This window comes from Homo sapiens, chromosome 12, assembly GCF_000001405.40.
Source record: "Homo sapiens chromosome 12, GRCh38.p14 Primary Assembly".
NCBI lineage: Eukaryota > Metazoa > Chordata > Mammalia > Primates > Hominidae > Homo > Homo sapiens.
The window spans coordinates 86,307,276-86,333,110 of NC_000012.12; the positions used below are offsets into that span (position 1 = coordinate 86,307,276).

General features: G+C 33.6%; 1 protein-coding gene across 3 annotated transcripts in view; it reads right to left on the reverse strand.

Annotated features, from left to right (window-relative positions):
- MGAT4C (MGAT4 family member C) overlaps positions 1–25,835 on the reverse strand; it is an 883,334-nt gene that overhangs the window by 351,609 nt on the left and 505,890 nt on the right. The gene's annotated exons all lie outside the window — the stretch shown is intronic.

The window sequence follows — 25,835 nt, forward strand, 5'->3', positions numbered from 1 at the left end:
GTATACTTATTAACTAGCAGCATTGGCATGAATTACATAAAATAAACTATTTATTTCTACATTGCTACATTGTTTATAATCTTATTTTAATCTTACTTAATACATGTTTTATATAGTGGATTTAAAATAAATGTTTGTGGAAGAAAAGGATGGAGAGATGCATTCCATTTAAAGTGATAATAAGAATTATTACTATCTAGCCATGAGCTGGAACTAATCAAAAGGGTCTACTTAGATGCAAATGGGGTGGAGAAATGCTGTCTATGCTCGGGCAACTGCTTTTCAGCAACAATTTTATATTAAATAGAGGAAGGTCACAGTTTTCTGTAGAAAATTAGACATCTTGCCCACATTTATTTTGTTTTGAAATATTTTAAAGGCAGTATTTTTCAGGGGCTTGTTTGAGTACAATTTCTTTCTTTTATTTTATTTATTTATTTTTTTTGAGACGTTGTCTAGCTCTGTCGCCCAGGCTGGAGTGCAGTGGCGCGATCTCGGCTCGCTGCAAGCTCCACCTCCCGGGTTCACGCCATTCTCCTGCCTCAGCCTCCAGAGCTGCTGGGACTACAGGCGCCCGCCACTACGTCCGGCTAAATTTTTTGTATTTTTAGTAGAGACAGGGTTTCACCGTGTTAGCCAGGATGGTCTCGATTTCCTGACCTCGTGATCCGCCCGTCTCGGCCTCCCAAAGTGCTGGGATTACAGGCGTGAGCCACCGCGCCCGACCATTTGGGTACAATTTTTTTGTATTATTTTTGTACAATTTTTATATTTGTATTATTTGTATATTTTTGTGTTATGTTGTATTATTTGTATTATTTAGATGTACAATGTTTGATATCTAAGGACGTATTTGAAAACATCAATTATGTTTATGTACATACATTTGCACACACAGACATGTATAATGTATATACAGGACTTTTGAACATCTTTCCTAATGAAATATCTTAAAAAATTTGATGCATTTATTGAATATTTTGTTCCTTTAGAAAAGAATTTCCAAATACCTATTTTGTTTCAAGTGCCTGTTAGAGAGAAAAATACAAATAAAACAGCAACACTATTCCTGCTGTGCTGAGAGTTTTTATATCAGTTTCTTTACAAATACAGATTTCTGAAAGGTTTGAATTTACACAAATCTCTTAAGGCTTATTACCAATAACAAATCCAAATTCTCTTTCACTCAAAAGAGATCTGAGGGAAAGAAAAATAAAAGGATGTTTTCTTCTGCAAAGGAAAAAAAAATAGGGATTTAGGCATTTATTTGATTGTTTGTTGTTTCACGAAAAGCTTGATTGGTTGCTTGGTCATGTTACAGCCTAATAGTGATGGTAATAATTTCAGTAAATAGATTTTTAAAATGGCAAAATACACAAAAACTGAGAAGGAAAGTTAATACAAAGAAAGCCATTCTTTCTTGCTTCAATCAAATACAGAAGTCCCCAGTAGATAATCATATTTTTCCTGTAGTTATATTTAGTATGAACCCACTATGGTTGAGACACTGTGTTAAGTATTTTATATACATTATTTCACTTGATGTTTACAAAAATTTTTGATGTCAGATTGTGATCTCTGTTCTATAGATTTTTTAAAAAAGAAGATTTTGGGAGAAGGGACTTGTCTGAAGTCACCAGTGAAAGTTTGAACTGATTATCTGTAACCAGAGAGCTATATTTTTTGAAGAGACTATTTAGTGTTAATATTTAACTTAATAAAAAGAAAAGTAAAATCTCATCTTTATTAATACCCATTCTGCTTCCATAATAATGATAAGGTCTGATTCTATCAAAAAATTCTCATTTTATCAGTTGCTAACATGGTATTCAGATGATTACCACTGTCCCAGTCTTCTGGTCTTTAACTTGCTTGCTGATTCAGAACAAAATCAAATAAGTATTTTGGCCTTTCTTTATAAAGCCCTAAATGTTGTGGATCTTCTGATAAATGCATAATTGAGCAAAAACCTGGACGCAAGCAAGTGTATTCAGCTTACCACCACCAAAAAACTTAGTTGCCAAATACAAGTGCCCTAGTCCATTTTGTGTTGCTATGAAAGAATACCATAGACTGGGTAATGTACTGTAAAGAAAATAAGTTTATTTTTCATAGTCTGGAGACTGTGCAGTCCACTATCAAAGTGCAGGCATCTGGCTTGGGCCTTCTTGCTGCATCATAACATAGTGGAGGGAAAGAAGGTGAGGACGGGGGGCAAACTCATCCTTTAATCAGGAAGCCACTCCAGGAATAACTAACCACTCCAAGGTAACAGCCTAAATTCATGCGGGCTCTGCCCTCATGACTTAATCATTTTCTAAAGGTTTCATCTATCTACACTATTGCATTGAGAATTAAGTGTCCAAACATGAATTTTGGGGGATACATGCAAACCATTGCAACAGGTTAGTAAAAGCAAAATATAGATTTTTCTAAATTGTTGGTGGCAATATTATAAACTTCCTCTGAAACAATAAAACCTAGGGGAAAGCATATTAATAAATGGCTGTGTTGCTTATCTTATTTCTCTGATGACCTCCTTATTCATGAATATATTGTCCAGACTCCAACAGATTTTATCTCGAGTCCAAAATTTTAAAAATAATTTATCTCTCTTGCACAGTGTGCACTAAAAATAATTTATAAAATAGGGAAGTGTATAATCTGTATTGGTAGGAGAAGGAGAAGGAGGAAAGAAAGATACGATAAAGCAACAAAAAGAAGACTTTATTAATAGAGTACTAGAAGACCCTATTAAAAAAATAAATAATAGAAAAAGAACAGGAAGAATAAAAGTGACAGTATGAAGTAGAGAAACCAGTGAGCTAAGGGCAAGATGAGGGAGGAGTCAAAGTGTTAAGCTAGGGTCTCAAACTCAATTTTTTTTTTTTTTGCCTGAGGTCAGGCAGGTAATGTGAATGAGTAAATTGGGCTGATTGTAAGAAGAATGTGGCCAGTGTTTCATTTCTTTTTATTTTGTTTTTAAATCAGCTTTCTTTCCTTGCATTTGATAGGGGAATAAACATTTCTTTTTGAAATAAACAATAGTAAAAGTGAAATGATCAAAGGTAGTGTTCTCAGTCTCTGGAAAACAACAAAGAATGGTATGGCAAACCAGCATTCATACTGGCCCTGGAAGAGGGCCGGTGGTAGGCACCATTCAGCTTTGTCCAGTATTGATAGTATTTTTTAATCAGAAGCTGAAATCTAAATTTTAAGAGAAATCTGAAATACTGACAACTCATTAAAAAAAAGTTTAAGTTAATGTGAATACTCTCATAGCCCTTACTGACTCCATTCCTACAGGTTGGGGATTGTGGCCTATGGCTACCAGACTGCATGCTTACTATTAAAAAGTTAAGCAGGCCGGGCACAGTGGCTCATGGCTATAATCTCAGCACTTTCAGGGGCTAAGGCGGGCAGATTGCTTGAGGTCAGGAGTTCGAAACCAGCCTGGCCAACATGGTGAATCCCTGTCTCGGCTAAAAATACAAAAAAATTAGCCAGGTATGGTGGCATGCACCTGTAATCCCAGCTACTCGGGAGGCTGAGGCAGGGGAATTGCTTGAACCAGGGAGGTGGAGGTTGCAGTGAGCCGAGATCGCACCACCGCACTCCAGCCTGTGCGACACAATGAGACTTCGTCTCAAAAAACAAACAAACAAAAAAACAAACAAATTAAGCGGAAGGGAATAAAATGATATCCTAACTTTACCTCTAGCTATTCTCAAGGCCCGATGGGTCCTGCTGCTTACTCTGCTCTTCTCCAGATGACTTTTCTATATGTGAGACTAGCACAAAGCTCTCCATTAGTTACAGTCATGCATCACGTAACAATAGTGGTGTGTTCTGAGAAATGTGTCCTTAGGTGGCTTCGTCACGGTGCAAACATCCTATAGTGTACCTACACAAACCTAAATGGTGTAGCCTACTACACACCTAGGCTATATGGGATAGCCTATTGATGCTTGGCTACAAACCTGTATGGCATTTTACCGTACTAACTCTATAGGCAATTATAACACAGTGTTAAGTATTTGTGTACCTAAATGCATCTGACATAGAAAAGGTACAGTAAAGATAAAGTATAATCTTACGGGGTCACCGGTGCATATGCGGTCTGTCGCTGACTGAAACATAATGCAGTGCATAACAGTATTTGATTTTTAAAAGGGTTTTAGGATTTTTGCTTTGGTCTAAACTAATTTTTTTAATAAGAGCCACACAGTGTTCAATTCTGGCTTATTTGTTGTCATCTATTTTCTGAGATCAAGTCTATTCCAAGGAATAGGTCCTGCACACAGAGCTGGCTTCATGGGTATGGCATCACTGGAATTGCAAAGGGTTCTGCACTCAGAAAGAAGCCCCGTGTTTAGGGTTTAATACAACTCTGTGAATGTTGTCTTTAAATTATTACTAATTTTATGCTTCTGTGTGTTTTAGAAGGTTTGATGGGACATGGATCAGGAGCTGGGGCTTAGAGTCTTTGTCCACAGGTTGTCCTGCCTCCTTCTGACCTCCACCATCTCCCCACTTCCCCATCTTGGGTTCTTGGTTGGCAATGCCCCACTCCTGTACAGATACCACTGGCACTCTCCACTCCAGCAAGGGCCTGGACACAGGTGTTAGGAGAGTTAGGGTATGCATATACATTACAGGGACCAAGTCATGGGGCTTTGCCCAAGGCACCTATGAGGCCCCATGATTGAGGGGTCACAATATTAAATAGAAAATAAAAAACACCACAGCAATTCAAGAAAGACCACAGAAGAAAAAAAAAAGGTGGGTTTTGTTTTGTTTTGTTGTTTCGCTTTTTGCACAATGTGTCCTGCATTTTCATTTTATACTGGATTCTCAAAATAACATAGCTGGTCCTGCTTCTCAGGGTATTTTATCACTGCTTACCTACTCTTTCCCTTGCACTTCACAAACCTCTTCTTTGCCTAAAACATGCAACATCAAAATAAATGGTCCAGCAAAACCTGAAGGTGCTTTAAAATGTAGTTAAAAGAAACAGGAGGCAATTCTATTTAGAAGCCGCATTACACTCTACCCCAAATCTGGAAAGTGTGAAGAGAAAATGCCAGCATAATAGCTATCACTCTTTGTTGTTAACACAGCTGCTTGCTCACTTTAGTTTTCTCGCACATATAAGGCAGAGCTGTGATGTACTCAGACAGATCACATTCAAATTCTCATTCTGCCACTTGCTAAGTGATGACCTTGGGCAAGTTACTCAACCTTCCTTAGCCAGCTTCGCTCTTATAAAACGGTTTTAATAATGAATGTTCTTGCAGTGTTGTTCAGGTTGAATGGTGTAAGATGAAACAAATTTGTAGCATAATGCCTAGCATATAATACAAGTTCTTTCATTCTTATGAAAACCTATATATATATAATGTAAATAATATTTTATATTTTTAGTATTTTAATGCACACAGGTTTAACTCCTTTTTGTGTCAGAGAAAAACAAACCTTTCATTTTAGCTGAAATGATTAGAAGTCATCATATAGCATTTATAAGGCTATGGCTACTGAGTCTGCATTGGCCCATCAACTGTCATTGTAGGGAAGAGATGAGTGGGCTGAGTGCCCTGCAGTAGCAAGCTTAATTTATGGCTTTTGGAAGAACTGAGCCCCAAGCATAATATTCAAGGTCTTTAATATATCAAAAGGCTTTTTTTCTTAGATAACAAAAATTTCCTCTGGTTTTTTGATATGTGAAATTTTAGTGTGCATAAAATGGAGCTCTATATTAGCCCACTCTGCATGTTTTAATAGTGTTACAGTGGTGGCTAATGTCTATGATAATCAACAGTTAGCAAAAACATGAATTTGGATATTTTCACATTTATTATACAAAAAGACAGTATTTTTTTTAAACGGTATTGTTTTAAACAGCAGTTTAAAACACAATAAAATTAAATTCCAAATAAGCCATAATTTTTATCAGGGTACTTTTAAGTAATCTGTGTGAAATCATTGAGGGTACTCACAGATGATGCAACTAATTTATTCAGTCTTAAAATGAAAACTCACAATGCAGGTAAGAGATATGGAGAAACAATTTTTGCAGACACAAATTTAACTTGTATTAAAATTTTATTATCCTCTTTTCAAAATCATGAAATCAGCATATTTAGCCGTAAGTAACTCATATGCTGATTACTAAAAAATAGTGTCGAAGTCAGTTGATCAGTGAAGTCTATGCATCCATTAAAAGCATAGCTAGCTATTGATTAATGGAAATCAGCAAAGACCTATAAGGCAGTTAACTAAAAGCAGAAAAAAACACATTCCTACAAGTGAGAAAAGCCAGGAGAAAAATTTTAATTACTCTCTCACGAACTCATAAAAACAAAGAAACAAATATGCAATCAATAGAAAACAGTTGTTTTTCTGTGACTAGGTTAACTAAATTACGTCTTAGCAAAGGAGCTAATATGATAAAATAACTAAGGTCTAATTACCAAGATAATTAGAAATATTTGTTTGGCTGGTGACAAATATTAGTATTAAATACCGAAAGCTTATGAATATCTAAAAACATTTTCCAAATGATCTACAATGTCTATAGAAAGAGAATTAGCATCATGAAATGAGATGCACAAATGTGAAACAATCTTAAATCATTGCTGAAACTATAGGGACCTAAGTAGTAGTTGGAATTAATTCCCATTGAAGTAACTAAATGAATTACTTCTGCTTCAATGAATTAAACTGAAATATATTTGCTCTAATTTACATTTGTGCTGTTTTGTTCTGTATCAATGGAAATGGATAAGTGTTTCCTATATTTATTATTTCAGGAGCACAATAAGCTCCCTGTCAGCTTTCTCAAATATCGTTTTTCATCTTTTGGCCCCATTCACTCTCCATCTTCTTATAGAGGTTACTTAAAAGCTTAGCACAATGTAATGAAGTTTGTAGGATGCTTTATCATCACAGAATTGATTTGATAAAAATAGAGAGATGGAGGAGAGAGAAGGATAAGAGATAGGCTGGGCGCGGTGGCTCACACCTGTAATCCCAGCATTTTGGGAGGCCCAGGTGGGCAGATCACGAGGTCAAGAGATCGAGACCATCCTAGCCAACATGGTGAACTGGAATAAGACAAGTATGCTCACTCTGAACACTCCTATTCAACATACCACTGGAAGTCCTAGCCCAGGCAATCAGGCAAGAGAAAAAAGTAAAAGTCATCCAAATAGGAAAAGAAGTCAAACTATCTCTATTTGCTGTCAATATGATTCTATACCTAGAAAACACTAAAGACCCTATCAAAAGACTTTTAGAAATGACGAAGGACTTCAGTAAAGTTTTAGGATACAAAGTCAATGTACAATAATCAGTGGCATTTCTGCCAATAATCAGTAGCATTTCAGGCAAAAACCAGTAGCAGATTCTGCCAATAGCATTTCCCCAACAACATTCAAGTTGAAAGCCAAACCAAGAACACAATCCAATTTACAGTAACCCCTAACATTAAAATACGTAAGAATACAATTATCTAAGTAGGTGAAAGATCTCTACATGGAGCACTACAAAACACTGCTGAAAGAAATCACAGGTTGCTTAAACAAATGGAAAAACATTCCATGCTCATAAATTGGAAGAATCAGTATTGTTAAAGTGGCCATACTGCCCAAAGGAATCTACAGACACAACACTATACCCATCAAACTGCCAATGTCATTTTTTACAGAATTAGAAAAAGTTATTCTAAAATTCATATAGAACTGAAAAAAAACAAGCCTGAATAGCCAAGAAAACCTTAAAAAAAACAAATAAAAAACAGAACAAAGCTAGAGGACTCACATTATACTACTTCAAACTATACTATAATGCCACAGTATCAAAAACAGCATGATACTGGTGCAAAAATAGACACATAGACCAACGAAACAGAATGGAGAACCAGAAATAAAGCCACACACCTGCAATAATCTGGTCTTTGACAAAGTTAAAAAAAATAATAATAAATGGGAAAGCACTCCTGATTAAATAAATGGTACTTGGATAGCTGGCTAGCCATGTGCAGAAGAATGAAACTGGACACATACCTCTCTCCACATACAAAAAATAACTCAAGATGGAATAAATATTTAAATGTTAAGACCTCAGAGTATCAGAATCCTAGAAGAAGGCCGGGCGCGGTGGCTCACGCCTGTAATGCCAGCACTTTGGGAGGCCGAGGCGGGTGGATCACGAGGTAAGGAGATCGAGATCATCCTGGCTAACACGGTGAAACCCCGTCTCTACTAAAAATATAAAAAAAAAATTAGCCGGGCGTGGTGGCGGGCGCCTGTAGTCCCAGCAGCTCTGGAGGCTGAGGCAGGAGAATGGCATGAACCCGGGAGGCGGAGCTTGCAGTGAGCCGAGATCGCGCCCCTGCACTCCAGCCTGGGGGACAGGGCGAGACTCCGTTTCAAAGTAAAAAGAAAAAAGAAAAATAAAGAATCCTACAAGAAAACCTAGGAAACAACATTTTGGACATCAGTCTCGGGAAATAATTTATGATAAAATCCTCAAAAGCAATGTAGCAAAAACGAAAATTGACAAGATTGACAAGTGGTACCTCATTAAACTAAAGAGACTCTGCACAGCAAAAGAAACGATTAACAGAGTACACAGATAATGTAAAGAATGAGGGAAAATATTTACAAACTATGCATCCAACAAAGGTTTAATATCCAGATCTATGAGTAAGTTAAACAATTCAACAAGCAGAAAGCAAATAATTCCATTAAAAAGTGGCCAGAAGACATGAATGGAAATTTTTCAAAAGAATAAATACAAGCAGCAAAAAAAAAAAAAAAAAAAAAAAAAAAATGGAAAAACGATCCACATCACTAATCATCACAGAAATGCAAAACAATACCACAATGAGAGACACCATCTCATCAGTCAGAATGGCCATCACTAAAATGTCAAAGAAACAGCAATGCTGGTGAGGCTGCAGAGGAAAGGGAATGCTTATACACTGTTGGTGGGGATGTAAATTAATTTAGTCACTATGGAAAGCAGTTTAATGATTTCTCAAAGATCATAAAACAGAACTACCATTCAGCACAGCAATCCAATTACTGGCTATATATCCAAAAGAAAATAAATTGTTTTACTAAAAGGAAACATGCATTCATATGTTCATCACAGCACTCTTCACAATAGCAAGGCATGGAATCAACCTAGGTGCCCATCAACAGTGAACTGAATAAAGAAAATGTGGTACACATACACCATGGGACACTAGGCAGCCATAGGAAAGAATGAGATCATGTTCTTTGCAGCAACATAGATGCAGCTGAAGGCCATTATCCTCAGATAATTAATGCAGGTACAAAACAAAACAAAAAAACAAGTTATAAGTGAAAGATAAATATTGAGTACCAATGGAATTAAAGATGGCAACAATAGACACTGGGGACTATTGGTGGGGAGGGATGAAGAAATAGGGGAAGGGTGGGAAAACTAACTCTTGGGGACTATGCTCACTAGCTGGGTGATGGAATCAATCATACCATAAACCTCAACATCACACAATATACCCATGTAACAAGCCTGCCTACGTACCACTCATTCTAAAATAAACATTGAAATTATATTATAAAAAAGTGATAAGCCCTAAGCCAAAAAAGTAATGAAATGAAGCAAAAAGTTTTAACTGAAATATTTAAAAATTAGTGCAATGTTTAAAGCAAAATCAAAAAGGAATCAAGGAAAGAAGAAAGGACAGAAAAAAGAAGGGACAAAAGAAGGAAGGAAGGAAGGAAGGAAACCCTAGAAAAACATAAGTATACAAGAAGAAAAATATAATAGTAATTGGCTCTATTTGAACAAATTTACATAAGGCTAATATTTTATACTTTCAACTTTTATAGTCAATCTATTCACAAAAGATGGAAGACAGTATAGTTTCAGAAGAATGCCTGAATATTATTAACAAAAAAGAGCAAAAACATTACTACAGATGGCAGAGGCTGTGTGTTAGAAGGGAAGAGAGAGGTGAAGGAAGATAGGAGATATAATTTTAAAGAGGAAAGTCAAAAAATAATATCATTAGTTGAAGAAATAAGAAATGCAGGTTTGTATTAAAAATAGGGATATACATTTCTGGGATGTGTAAACATTTCTGGTAAGAGAAAGGCAGGTATTCTCTAAAAACTGATAAATAAATTAGACTCAACAATATTAACACATTGTTGAGACATTTATATGTGTCAGAAAAAAATATAAAAATACACAGGTTTAAAGAAGTAATGTGTTCTTTTGAGTATGACATTGAGAGTAGGAAGGATGTGTGACTGGGATGGTAGTTTTGACTTTGGGCTTATTTTATGTAGATAACAAAGCAAACCTCTACTCTTTTGAGAAGTTAGGATATTTAGTCTGAGAAGTTTGAGTGTGGAGTATGAGGCAACTTTGGCTAAAAATATAGAAGGTTTTCTAATAAATAACACTGGAATGAACCATCTTGTAAAGAAGTGAATTAATAAGATATTTCAGGAAAGTTTCATGTATATAAGAGACATTACATTCGAGGTTCTATGGTCTAACGTGCCTTTAGCGGAAGGATTTTCAAAGAACTGCTACTAGATGGCAAACTCAAGTTATTTTTTAAATATGATATTTTAACTGAATTTTTGCAATAAGAAATCTCATAGTTATCCTTTTCCTTCTCCATGTTTATCTTATGTTAAAAGAATTCAGCTTTTAGAAATAAAGCAACAAATTTAACTTAACTCAAGGCAAAATAAGGCCTTATATTAAATTTTCATTGAAGATAATTTTGATGAAAACCTCTCAGAGAAATCAAAGGAAAAAGAAGCTGGAAGTACATAAACAAATTATAAAGTAGAAATTGGTTCTGTGAGGAGAGATTTATTTGGTTTAATTTTCTTTGGGTAATATAAAATATATAATCTATTTTATGAATTTTTTTGTCATTTTTCATATTAGGTTTGAATTCATACCTGAAAGAACTAGATGAATGTTACTATTTCTTTTGAGCCTGAAATTTCTTTCCAACACGCCTCACATTATTGAAACATTAATACTAAGCAGTACTGTCTACACCTGAAGGAGCAGCCATCACAGAGCTGGGTGATAAATCACTGCTCCCTGATGTCTGGCAATGTCCAAAATGCAAGCCAGTTCTCTGGAAGTGTTGGTGCTGGCACCTGCCATCCCACTTCACTCTTCACAATTGTTGGAACAGCCTTCTTCATACTGAGCCCAATTCTAGACCACATAAATAAAGTATACGGCTTTTCCTTAAAATATTATGTCTTTTTTTGTAGGGTGAATATTTTTTGTACCTTAAACTTACTGTATAGTTGGCTTCCAGATCTAAGTCATGAACAAAAAAGTCCTGACTATATTATACTATGTTGTATGATGTTGTTTTAATTATATTATAGTATTATATTTATCATATTATATGTAAAGTAAAATATATCCCTTCTCAGTATTCACCCAACCATCCCAACGGCACATCTTTAAGTGGCACAAACTTTCACTGTTTAATTATTTAGGATCATCCCAGGTTTGTTATTAATGGTTTTTAGGCTGCTGTTCTTTATCACTCTCAAGAGGTGAGACTTCCAGTTTTATCTCTGACTTTTACCTCTATGGTCTTATACCTCAGTCATTAAGTGTTAGTGATCAAGACATGTTTTTAAAGTCTATGCTTTTTCCCACTCTTCTCATTTTGCCTGGGATTTCAACATCTATCACCCAAGCTCTATTTCTTAAGATGTGACAAACACCTAACTACCCTTCTACAAGACTCAGGGAAAATGTTTCCTGTGAGAACACATTTTCTGACAGACCACAGATAACTACCTACTCCTTTCTACTCCTACTGAAGCCCATAATCATATCTATGAAGGAAGAACTTATTACAAGGGACTCCTAGATGACTTCCTATGTCCTCTATACACCAAATCATGCATAATTTCATAATCTCTTCCCATTACTTTTAGGATAAAATTCTAAAGATTTAACACATTTAGCACGAAATATAAGGCTCTTCATGATGTGATCTCAGACTGCTTCTTTAGATGTACTGATACCCCACATACATGCATAAGAAATCTCTCTCATGTCACCCCAGCAACCCATCCCATTTCCACGTAGTCCATCAAAGAAGCAGTGAATAATTCCTTCATGTCATTCAGATCTAAGTTTAAATACCTTACTATATTTATTGGGGCATTTATTAACTCCTGAATAAAATGGTCTACCCAATCACTCATATCCCAGTTTTATATCACTTAGCATTTATTTCTGTCAAGAATGGTAATACTTGTTTGCTTTTCTCTCTTCTTCCATTAAAAAGCAAGTGGAATGACACTAGGATGTTGTCTCTATTTCTGCTGAATTCCTAACACTTAAAATGTTGGTTATATTTTTTTAAGTAAGTGAATGTATGAATGCTGGCTTTGTGAGAAATGAAATGTTTCTTGTCAAGTTACCTAGGAAATATTATATTAGCATCTTGCATTTCCCCCTTTTCACATCAAGTATCTGAAAGTTGAAAGGGGCTGAATTATTACCTCTCCCAAAGTGCCCAATATTTTAGGATTCAATAAATGATAAAATTTTTTTAAAGTCCATAATTTGAAAAGAAGAAATGAAATTTTAATTCTCATAAATTAGTAAGAAAATAAATTCACGATGTACTGAGTGAATTTAGTTTTACAGAGAACCAGTTCCGTGGTTCTTATTGTTTTTCTTTTGGAATACTGTAAACTTCAAGGAAGGACAGACTGATATCTGCAGTTCTGCCCTGGGAGCCTCTGACCCAGCCCATACTTCCTGACACTACAAGATCTCCCTCACCACGTCTTCTTCTAAATCCACTTCTCTTGTATTTCTTTTTTTACTCTCAGCTTGGTAAAGGAAACTAATCTGATAATCCTGTCTGAGAAAAAAATATTGATATCTGATAATGGCTTAATTCATCTTTTACAAAGGTTTGCAACAGCCAGTAACCCAAAGGAATGAATAAACAATTTAATGTTTTGATTGTAATTTCCAGTAGGGAAGGTGTTAACTTTCTTCCAGCTCCTTGAGTTAAACTACATAAAAAGATGTTCTGCATAAAGGTGGTCTAGATTACCAAAGAGTGGCATTTTCTTTTCATACTATTAGTTTATTAAGACTTAATATTTTTCATGGTAAAAATAGTAATAGTAATAACAATAATAGTAAGAACTGAAATTTATTGAGAATTTGCCATGTACCAAAAACTGTGCCAAATGCTTTTCAAACAGTATCTCATTTCATGGTCATAGATGTACTATAGAAAATCACTTTTATCCCAAATTTACAGGTATAAAATTAGGCTTCAACAGGTTAAATCTCACTGCTGATCAGTGGCAGGGCTGGGATTTATATTATGATCTGTATAATTCCAAAAATCATGATTTTCTACAGCCTCTCAAAAAAACCCATATGGTTTTACAACTGGGTTATGATTTATCTGTCATTAAGCCCTAGGCATGAATCCCTTACTAATAGCCTTGAGTGGTGACAAAACCTTTTCTTTCTGAAAATGAAAAACTAAATGACATCATAAAGTAGCAACTTACATTTTTATCCAGCTCTAATCGTTACCACATCATTTTTCTTAATGGATCAAAATCTACCAACTATATAATTTGCACTATTTAATCCCATTCTTGCTCCTAAACAATTAAGATAGGAAAAAATCAAAAATGTACCCTAAAAAACTTCTAATTTCATATTCTAAAGATGTATGGAAATCTTTTAATAGAAAAAAACTAGATAAATCTTAAAACCATTTTTATACATTTTTAAAGTCACTATACCTTTTTAAAATTAAGGGTCTTAAAGTATCAATCTTTCAAACTTTCAATTTTATTACCCAACATTCTCTAAAATCTATGTGTGAAAAATTATTTTAAAAATTTGACAATTAAGAGAAAAAAGACATGATGTGAGAATTCTTAAGATAAAAGACCACTTCAGTTACATTAGCAAATATTTTGATTTAACATGTCTTCTAAAATGTAGCATTCATATCCTTGTATTTCTATCTCTATTTTGATTTAATTTAAGTTATGCCATAAAATAGATCATTTACACTTGGATGAAGATATCAGAAACTTCTTTTATTTTCCAGACCAAATGAAACTTTTCAGTTGATTTCTACTGAGCTTCAGGGAGTATTTTGATAGTTTGGGATTTATTTATTGTTTTAATTTTAAGAGCTAATGAGTAAACTAAGACACACCATTGAAAACAATACTAGCTGAATGCTTTTAAAATGCTGAAAATGGCCGCCAGAAAATATATTTATTCAAATGCCACTATGTTCTTTTTTAAAAATGTCCTCAAGTTATACTTTTTTAAAAATCAGAGACCTGTGAGATACCATCTCACACCAGTTAGAATGGCGATCATTAACAAGTCAGGAAACAACAGGTGCTGGAGAAGATGTGGAGAAATAGGAACACTTTTACACTGTTGGTGGGACTGTAAACTAGTTCAACCACTGTGGAAGACAGTGTGGAGATTCCTCAGGGATCTAGAACTAGAAATACCATTTGACCCAGGCATCCCATTACTGGGTATATACCCAAAGGATTACAAATCATACTGCTATAAAGACAAATGCACACGTATGTTTATTGTGGCACTATTCACAATAGCAAAGACTTGGAACCAACCCAAATGTCCATCAATGATAGACTGGATTAAGAAAATATGGCACATATACACCATGGAATACTATGCAGCCATAAAAAAGGATGAGTTCATGTCCTTTACAGGGACATGGATGAAGATGGAAACCATCATTCTGAGCAAACTATCACAAGGACAGAAAACCAAACACCGCATGTTTTCACTCATAGGTGGGAATTGAACAATAAGAACAGATGGACACAGGGTGGGGAACATCACACACTGGGGCCTGTCGTGGGGTGGGGGGAGGGGGGAGGGAGAGCATTAGGAGATATACCTAATGTAAATGACGAGTTAAGGGGTGCAGCCCACCAACATGGCACATGTATACATATGTAACAAACCTGCACGTTGTGCACATGTACCCTAGAACTTAAAGTAAAAAAAAAAAATCAGAGAACTGCTTAAATGGTTCATTCTAAACCATTGGTTTAGCTATTGAACTAACTTTGGTTGCTATTACATTTTTAGACATATAATCTTAACAGATTATAAGTTTCTTTCTTTTGTTTCTTTCCTTATTTTTCTAAGAGGATGAAGCCAATTCAGTATTATATTTATTGTTTAGAAAAAAATGAATTTAGAGGTTTCTTAATTTTTTTTATTTTTATTTTTATTTATTTAAGGCATCTGCTGGTAGAGCTGTCATTGCTCTTACTTTGTTATAATTCATTGAAAATGGTCAACGGGAAGGGCAATTTAGTTGCTTTGACTTGCAAACAGAATATTTTCCCTAAATATTACCTTCTAGCATTTTTACAAGTCCAATAACGTGTTCATATATGAGTCATAGAGCATATATTTTTAGATTGCAAAATTATACTAGCATGAGACAAGGTACTTTAGATTTGGATTGTGAAAATATCAGTTTTAAATTTATAGTAATACTTGCTTCAGTTTCTGTATACATTGTCAAGTTTATTGCAGGAAATGCGGAAGAGTTAATTTTATATTTTATTCATTATTCAAATAATTATTAAGATGTTTATAAACTCATCACAAGCATTGCTCATTTTTATTGGCTTGCAATCAGCACTTAAAATCCTATTGTAAAACTCTGCAACACATGAGGTTTGACAGATAATATAAGTTTACAGGAATTTGAAAGATCTCACAAAGCCCACAGAAATATTTTCTTGGAAGTTTTTTTTTTTTTAATGTTAACTATACAATGCTGTTTAGTGATATACTCCTGCTGGAAAAACAATTTATAATTTTTATATTTCTCATTGCAATCCTAAATAAATACATATATTATTCAAGTTTTCTATAAAAATTAAGTGTTTAGTTAATATCACATGTATCTCTCTAAAGTTACATGAATTCAGAGTAAATTATTATAATCATCCATATTTTAATATTCAACTTGCTTTTTGTATCAGTGGTTAATTTGGTAAAGTTTTAATATATTTCATCTTTATTTCCTAAAATAATATTAAAGGGATGGTAATATGAAAAAAACCACAATATTTATTTAGGATCGTAAAATAAGATATTTTTCAATATGCAGAAGGCAAAGAAAAACACTAAGTATGTAAAAAGATAATAATACAGTTAATTTAATTTAAGGAAAATATAATATCCAAATCTCATAGGTGTTCTGTTTCAAATAATCACTTAACAGAAATTCACAGCAGCAAAACAATATAACTACCGTAGTAAATACATACATATATATAAATAGACGAAATACACAATATATCTTATTTTTGTATATTTACTAATCAAAATTATTTTAAAATAACTTTATAGCTTCATGCTTCATGCCTTCTCATTGAAACATTTTCCGATAAAATTGTTGATGCTTCCGACAATTCCTATTATCGCAATTTGATATTTAAATCAAGAACTACCTAAAGCTACTAAATCTTTGCCACTAGCCTAAATGAGGCAATATTCTTCTATTCCCATGAATTATTCAAGTTTATAAAATGGTGAAATCAGATGACAAAATATTGTATTTTAATATGGACTATGTATTCTTATATAAGCTATTACGAATCAAAAGAAAACTGGAAGTAAAAATGAAACTTCAATTAGTTTTATTTTTTCTTTACATTGATTACCGGAAGCATAATTTCTTTATTTTTAATTAAATTCAGCAATGTAAATTAAGTATACTGTCACAAATTCATTTATCTTCACTAGTAAAATCTCCACAGTTAAAAACAAATAGCAATTTCTTATTCTATGGTTATGTATTGCCCCTTTCTTTTAGTTATCTATCTTACAAATTTAGGCAGATTCTCATGGGTGGTAAAAGAGTGGTAGATAGCACTGTTTAATACATCCTCATTAAAAGCAAATATGTATTATGTTGTATTAGTGACCACAAATGAGCTTGATTTTATTTCATGTTTTGTATACATAATTTCCATATTCTTACATTCTTTTAATTCTTTTTGTGCATTTTGGTTACTTATTAATTAAATATATTCTACATTAATTTTATTTTATTTTGTTTGATTTTGATATATTTATTATTGCTTTTAATTTAATTTAGTAGTAGATTATATTGCTAAACATGTGAGTTAAATCCAGGAGTAATTAGAGCATATTTCATATGTGTCACTTTATTAAGTGTAAATTTGAAAGGGAAAATATATAAATAACATTAATTGTACCATTTAGAATATTCTAATTTTGTATTAGCAGGTAAAGCAATGAGAATATATACGCTTTGACAACTAATCCATAGAGAAACGAGAGTTGTTTTTTTTTTCTGCTTGTGCAAAGCAAATTAGAAAAACAATCAATATTTCTTTTCCAGAAACATTTGCTCTCTGCCCCAGATTTATGTTGGAATGTTTATTTGGTTTGTATGACTCTCAAGAGATGTGGCTTAATGGAAGTACTTGGATAACAGTCTTAGAAATCTAATGACAATTGTTTGTTTTTCCCAAATAACCACTTCCTAATGATTATTATTGAGCCTTGCAGTGTTAAAATGACATGTTTAGTTTCAGATGAGCATTTAAAAATTATTTCAGCTATTCTGTTACTTGGTATAAAATAAATGTCAATTTTTTGACCTATTGTAGATGTTCAGAAGCAGTCAATTGTTTTAATATAAATGTTGCATTCTTCACTTATGCTTCACACATGGATGAACAACAATTTGAAGCTACTAGATCAATTCTATATATGTTATTTGCAGTAAGTATACATTCAAGTACAGATATTTATTTTTTTAGATTGGATTGTCTCTTAATATAATTTAATTCACAGTAACTACCAATACTGAGGATTATGAAAAGTTTTGTCCTCCATGTAAACATGTATTGATATTTTTCCAGATTTTTCCACATTAAGTTCTCATTAATCATTGTATATTCCAGCAGCATATCAAAAAATTAGGAATTTATTTAGAACTTAGTAGAGCTACACTATGTAGAGTGAAAAACAAAACAAAACCTTACCCCAATTCACAAATAAGTGTACAATATAATATTGGCACATTTCTAATTTTGCAATCAAAAAGGATTACAGTTCAATCCTGACTTGACTACTTTGTTCTGTGCATGAGCAAATCCAAAGATCTCTATAGCTTATTATCTGTAAGGTGGGTAAAAGAGATGTAGCATTAAAACAATTAAAATAGTGCTTGAGGCTGGGCACAGTGGCTCACACCTGTAATCCCTGCATTTTGGGAGGTCAAGGCAGGTGGATTGCTTGAGCCCAGGAGTTCAAGACCAGCCTGGGCAATATGTCAAAGCCCTATCTCTACAAAAAATACAAAAATTAGCCTGGTCTGCTGGTGCAGCCTGTATTCTCAGCTACCCAGGAGGCTGAAGCGGGAGGGTCACCTGAGCCCAGGAGGTCGAGGCTGCAATGAGCAGTGATCATACCACTGCACTCTTGCCTGGGCAACAGACTGAGACCCTGTCTCCAAAAAGAAAAAAAAAAATAATAATGCTTGACACAGGGTTCCCTATACAGTCATTTTTATTCTATTTATTTTATTACATTCTTCATGTCAAAATGGCAAGGTTAATATTGCTTGGGCTTTGAAGTTAAGACCATCTTGACTCTGCTAACTATGTAACTGTGAGCAAATTATATTACTGATCTGAGCTTGCCTATTATTTAGAATAAGAATAATATTTTATTTTACATAATATTATTGGAGGATTATGTGAGATAAAATAAATATATTTTTATATTAAGCGGCCAACAAATATTTATTTTTTACCCTGTCACTCAGCTGAAGAGAAAAAATATGAGATCTAATGTACAGCTTGGTGACTATAGTTAATAATGTAGTGTATACTTAAAATTTGCTAAGAGGGTAGATCTGCAGTATTCTCATCACACACACACACACACACACACACACACACACACACGGTAATTATGTAAGGTGATTTATATGTTAATTAGCTTGATTGTATTGTTCATTTCACAATGTATACCTATATTAAAACATCACAGTGTACACGATTAATTTATACAATTTTATTTATCTATTATACCTCAGTAAAGGTGAAAAAAGAAAAAAATGAATTACAAAGAGAAATAAAGCATTATAAGACTTAAATCTACTAGGCTTTTTAATAAAATGGTAATATTTTTATTCCAGAAAAGGTAGATGAAATTGTTGAAGAGTAAATAACTAGTTTAGATTCTAAATACATGTGGATCATATTTTATGTCACAAAAGGGAAATTTTGTGTTTGTAAAACAAATATATCTAATCACTTATAAAATCAAGAAAACCCACTTGAGCCTTTACATTTGTCAGTGTGTATCGTACCATTTTCTATTTCATACAAAATAAAACAGTGTGAACAATCAGAAATGAAAGCAGTTAATAAATAATTAAAGGCAAAATATTTTAACTAAAAAAAGTCACTTTAAAGGAGCCTTACTTCACTCTTTAAACAATAATAACAAAAATAAGACAATAAGCTAGTTAAGAAGGATGATTCAGACAATTGTCAATTTGTATTTTGATGTCAGGAAGCCTTTTATATTACTGCTTCAAATAGCAGGACACTTGTCAGATGGCTCATCCACCCTTTCTAAAACTTTTCCCTACAATGACTAAACTATATCTTTATAATTAGTTATGTATGTACTCAAGATAATAGACATGTAAGGACTAATGCAAAACAAACTATAAAATATGCATTTACCATTATCTTATTATCCTATTTTTCATTTATCTGTCTTTTTACTTTGTTTCCCAGGAACTGCCCTCATTTATCTCCCAGCACTATATTATAGTCCTGTGACAAGCCATATTGAAGCTGAGGCAAAAGGAAAAATCAGTAATATTGATCTTGTCTTTGTTTTAAAATTTATTTTGTTAATTTTGGATTTTTTAATTTTTTTATTTTCATTGTATTATATTAAAATATTATTTATTTAGATTGCTGAGTTGATTGATGCATACTCAAACTTTCACTCAAAGTGAGTGCCTCACTTGCTTCAGCCTAGTCACCACCCTGCTAACTTTTGCTTGGTTTGTACTCTTTCTTAAAGCTGTGTAAACCTGGTGTTCTTTGAAAACTTGTGGTTCATGAGTTTGCTTGTTAATGCAAACCAAGAACATCACATCTACTGTAGTGGAATTGAAATTATATAAATCAAATTTGTTTAAGTGGAAAAAATTGAAGAAAATTGAGGTAAAAAGAAAATAAAATTTCAAAATTGATGAAAACTCTGACTTAATATATTTAAAGATACACAATGATATTGTTACCAAGAAGGAAATTCCACCTACAAAAAAAATTGAATATGCAGAGAACTGACAGGAGTTCTTGGTTTTCAATCAATCTGTTTCTTTGTTTTCTCCACTCTACTCCATCTTTCATAATTTGCACAAAAGGTATCTTTGCTGCAAGTTCCTGAGACTGAGGAATTCCATAGCATGGGATCAATGATATTATTTATCTTTCCCCACTGACAGCTTAAGGTTTATTTTTTTTCAAACGTTTATTATTTACCTCTAGTCCAGAAACTTCCCAGATAGCAAAATGTTGTTGCATTGTTCTAGACCTCCAACCTCCCATTTTCAAAGTTTGTGTCTTGAAATGAAAACAAAACACTCTTTAGTGTCATTTTATTGGAGCTCAAGGATGGGAAGTAGATGTAAGTGTTCAATGTGCCACCTTTACATTAAATTTAGCTTTATAAATGTTTAATGTACCATTATATGTACCAATACCAATAATGTACCATTAGTAACATTAATATACCATTAATTAATGGTATATGTGAAAAACCTACACTGACATATTTATGAGAGAAAACACTGAACATGTTTCTAAACTTTGAGAATACAAGAAGCAAATCAATTATTACCACTGTGATTCAACATTGTAATAGAAGTCCCAGCCAGTGAAATAGGGTAAGAAAGAAATAAAAATGCAAATGTTGGAATGGAAGTCTTGATTATCAGATAACACTAGTATGTCTATAGAAAAGTCTATGGAATCGACAATAACAGTAATAGAATACTTGAATTTGTAAGTAAATTTAGCAAAGTCATAGGATTCAAGGTCAGTATAAAAATTAATTGTATTTCTATACAGCAACAATAGAAAATAAAAATATTAAAATATTACCATTTATAATAGCACCAAGAAACATCAAGTGGGAATAATTGTAACAAAATTTGTGAGATTCATATTATGAAGACTACAAATTGCTTCAACGAGAAATAATATAAGACAAATTAAATATAAAGACAAATATCATCTTCACAAACGAGAAGACTCAATGTTTCTTTAGATCTTAATTATCTTTGATTTGTTAGCTTTAATGCATTTTTAATCAAAATGTTACAAGAAGTTAAAACAACTCATAAGCTGACTTTAAAATAAAATAGAAAGGGCCAGGTGTGGTGGCTCACACCTGTAATCTCAGCACTTTGGGAAGCCAAGGTGGGCATATCACGAGGTCAGGAGTTCAAGACTAGCCTGGCCAACATGGTAAAACTTCATCTCTACTAAAAATACAAAAATCAGGTGGTGTGGTGGTGGGTGCCTGTAATCCCAGCTACTTGGGAAGCTAAGGCAGGAGAATGACTTGAACCCAGGGGGCAGAGGTTGCAGTGAGCCAAGACCATGCCATTGCACTCCAGCCTGGGCAACAGAGCAAGACTCCATTTCAATAAATAAATAAATAAATAAATAAATAAATAAATAAATAAATAAAATAGAACAAGATGTAGAATGGTAAAAATAATCTTGAAAATAAACACACTTGTTAGAGTTACATAACCTTGTTCCAAAACTTGCTCTAATGCAACAAAAATAATAGAAAAATTTGGCCGGGCGTGGTGGCTCACGCCTGTAATCCCAGCACTTTGGGATTTACTTTCTATGTTTCTAAGATAAGGGCTGGTTCAGTGGACATAGTTACATATCAGCAGAATCCCAACTCCTTAAACTAGTATTAATCTTTCACAAATCTTGTCCTGATCTACTTTAATATGTAACTTTTATCCATAGCAGCTGTCAAACATAATATTTTCTATCCTCTTACATTTAGCTGACATGCCTGCCAAAATAAGCAACTAATTCTTACTAAACACCTTCTTCATACCTTTCCTGATTCCATTTCCTATGCCAAGAATCCCTCAGTTTTCTTCAAAGCCTAGGTTCAAATCAACATCTGCAATGTACTTTTGCTGCTTCCCTCAGCTGAAAATGATGTCTCATTCGTCTTAATACTATAAACTTTATAATATACTTTCATATTAAGTAATACTTAATACTTCTTAATGGATATTGACATTTTCAACTTACACTTTATAGTTAAAGCTCTACTGTATTTTAAAGTGTATATTAAATTTCCCCACTGTGTATCATTTCCATGGTGTTAGAGTTAAAAATTTACAATGGTAAATCCCCTGCAGATCTCTGCACAGTTTCATACATAGTTAACCCTCAACAAATGCTTGTAAAATAAATGAATGGATGCTTTTAATAATCATAGGTGTTTGTGTGTTTCTTTAAACTATTTCAAAAGATATCCACAGAAAATTTCATAATTTATTCTAGACAATACTAGTTATGTATTCCATGTCATAGGACACAGGAAATGCTACCTACAAATATAGACTTATTGTAGACTGAGTATTTTAAGCTGAAGGAAATTAAGAAAACCATAGAAGCAGAAAGATCTCTCTGACCTTCTCCTGTCCCCTCTTTTGAGGACCCTAATGTGATATGCACTTACTCATATCTATAGGGTAGGAATGTTACACAAAGAGGCCAAAAAGAATCTGAACAAACAGGCCTTGCCAAGTTACTCCCCAGTTTATTGCCATTAGTACGTATCATTTTTATCAAATTATTCTTTTACATAACTGTCCATTCTTCATTCCACCCCATGGATAAAAATACATTTTTCACCATTTCTCTGGGACTTTATTGCTGAAGGCTCCTGTGTCATGTAAAACTTTGAATAAATAAATTTGTTATACTTTTCTCTTGTTAATCTGTCAAGGAGTGCCAGCCAGAAATCTTGAGACCAATGAGAAAAATATATTGGCATACATATGGCATTTAATATCTAATAAGTTTTTAGTAGCTTTTGTTGTCTACTGAGGTGTGATGCTTACTGAATTCTCTATTTATTTACAAAGTCTATCTGTAAATATTTTGTTAAATAAACCAGTGATTACATAACTTTTGGATCTGTGTGATAGTCTTATTTATAGAATTATCTGGTTTTCATTATCTGATTTCATTCAGTCAACAAAATGTTTTGATTACTTATTATATTACAGGCACTATGCTAGGCACTGTATATAGTGTTTAAGTTTTGTGGGAGAGATACACAAATAAACAATAAACAATTATACTTATTATGGCAAGTGTCATGAAGTAAAAGAAGTCTATGAGAGATAATGGCTAGATTGAAATGTTACAAAAGGTCTTTCCAAAGAGATCTTCAAACTACTTCAGCAGAGTCTGAGAAATAGGGAGCTATCATATAGCAATTATTATCCCTATACATGTATATATATGTTAGCAGTGGTGAATCCATGTGGGTCTGCAGCAACCTCAACTCTGGTCTTCTTAGAAGAAAGAATTCGACCTGGGGCAAAAGGCAGAGTGAGAGGCCAAGGCAAGTTTTAGAGCAGGGGTGAAAGTTAATTAAAAGTTATAAGAAGGAAGGGCATGAATGAAAGGAAGTAAAGTATACTTGGAAGAGGGCCAAGCAGGCAACTTGAGAGATTCAAGTGTGAAGCTTGAGCTTTGACTTGGCATTTTGTACATTGGCATGCTTCCAAGCGGTTGCATCCCTTCTCCCTTGATTCTTCCCTTGGGGTGGGCTGTCTGCCTGCACAGTGGCCTGCTAGCACTTGGGAGGGGTTGCATGAGCAGTGTGTTTACTGAAGTTATACGCATGTACAACTGTGGCATTTTTCCCTTACAAGTCGAATGTTTAAACTCTACCATTTTGCCCCTTAGTGACTTGAGGCATTTTTCCCTTCCCAGTTGAGTATTCCTAGAGGAAGGTCATATACCAGTTAAACTCTACCATTCTGCCTCTTAGTGTGCATTCTTGAGCACACTTACTCAACTTCTGAGATCTTATTAGGAAACTGCTGATCACCAGTTTCTGGTGTTTCTATCTATTAGGAGACTGCTTTTCCCTGGCATGGGCTGCAACCAATAATTCTTTTAGAGAGACAGTTTAACAACTGCCTGATCATAACCTGATCGTCTCCTGGCATTCCTGGTGGTTGGTAGGGAGGGGCCTCTCCTGCCTTGCTCATGTCTGCCTGACTACCTAATGTAACATGTGGAGCAGAGGAAAATTTACGAAAGATAGAACTATTTAAAACTACCACTATAATCTGAGCAGCAAATGTTTGTGAAATCTTGTAAATGTCTCTAACAAATACAACCTAATAGGTTGTATATTTATAATAGTATTTATAAAAACATAAAAAACACAAAAGGTCTAATAGGTTCCCTACAGTAATGCCCTAATTATGCTTTAATTCATCAATAAGAAAATTCTGGTTTATGTTGAGTATTCCACATTTACACAACTGGGACAAAATTAAAAGAGTATACCATGTAAATGCAGCGTAAAGGCATCATTTGTATCTACTTGGAAGAGTCTTTCTTTGCTACTTCATGAAATTATCTCATTTGTTTTGGATTGCAATACAGAATATAATGAACAATTTTAAATTATAAAAATAGAAAAAAAATCAGTTTATGTTGCTCATTTACCCACAGTAAAGACTTTTGTCACGGCATGCTAAAAATACTTTAGAAAGATTTTACTGATTGCTTTCATTTAACTGCCACTTTGCCATTTATTGGCTTAATTTTGCACAGAATGAAGCACACTTAAAACTCAAGGAAAGATATTAGGTTTTAGTTTTACACACTCCATCATGAAAATAATAAAATGAAGAACGGATTTTTTTTTCTTTTTTTGGTATTTGCCAAGTATCTCTCAAAAAAAAAGAAAAAAAAAGCCCCAAATCTCTCAAGTCACTCAAGACAATCTAAGCACACAAAAATAAGCATATTTTCCTTTTATATTCCTCTCGAATTCAAACCAATATCTATCTCATTTTACAACACATGCCATTGTCTTTCAAAATATATGAAGTAATCAAGTAAAATTTCCACAGTAAAAAGCCATATCGTAATTGGGAAAAATCTTTACTTTTTAAAGGTTTTTTTTTGTGTGTGTGTGTGAGACTTGCTTCAAAGCAGCTCTGCATTTTTTCAGTGTAAATTAATGAGCTTAAGTAAATATCCTTTTGTTTAAATAAATAAAGGAGCTATGAAAGTGCATCCATCAAGAGCTAGGCCATTAAATTGAAACATATCTATAACTACTTAATTATCAGAATAAATGACTGTGCTAAAAGAGGACAGGTTGATTAACATTTTTTTTGTTACAAACACTTGCATATTAAGTGATAGTCAAGTTTTTGTGAATCCTTTTGCTGTTGAAATGTTTCAAGGGATCATCTAACATATGTTCAAGTTACCAGCAGAAAAAGGCTATATGAAACAAGCATACATCATCCAATAGCATGAGTCTGACGACCCCTGAATATGACCTGCTCCCAGAGGAAACCAATATAATGCTCTATCGCACACAGAGTAGTATGTATGAATGACAGAACCTCCTGA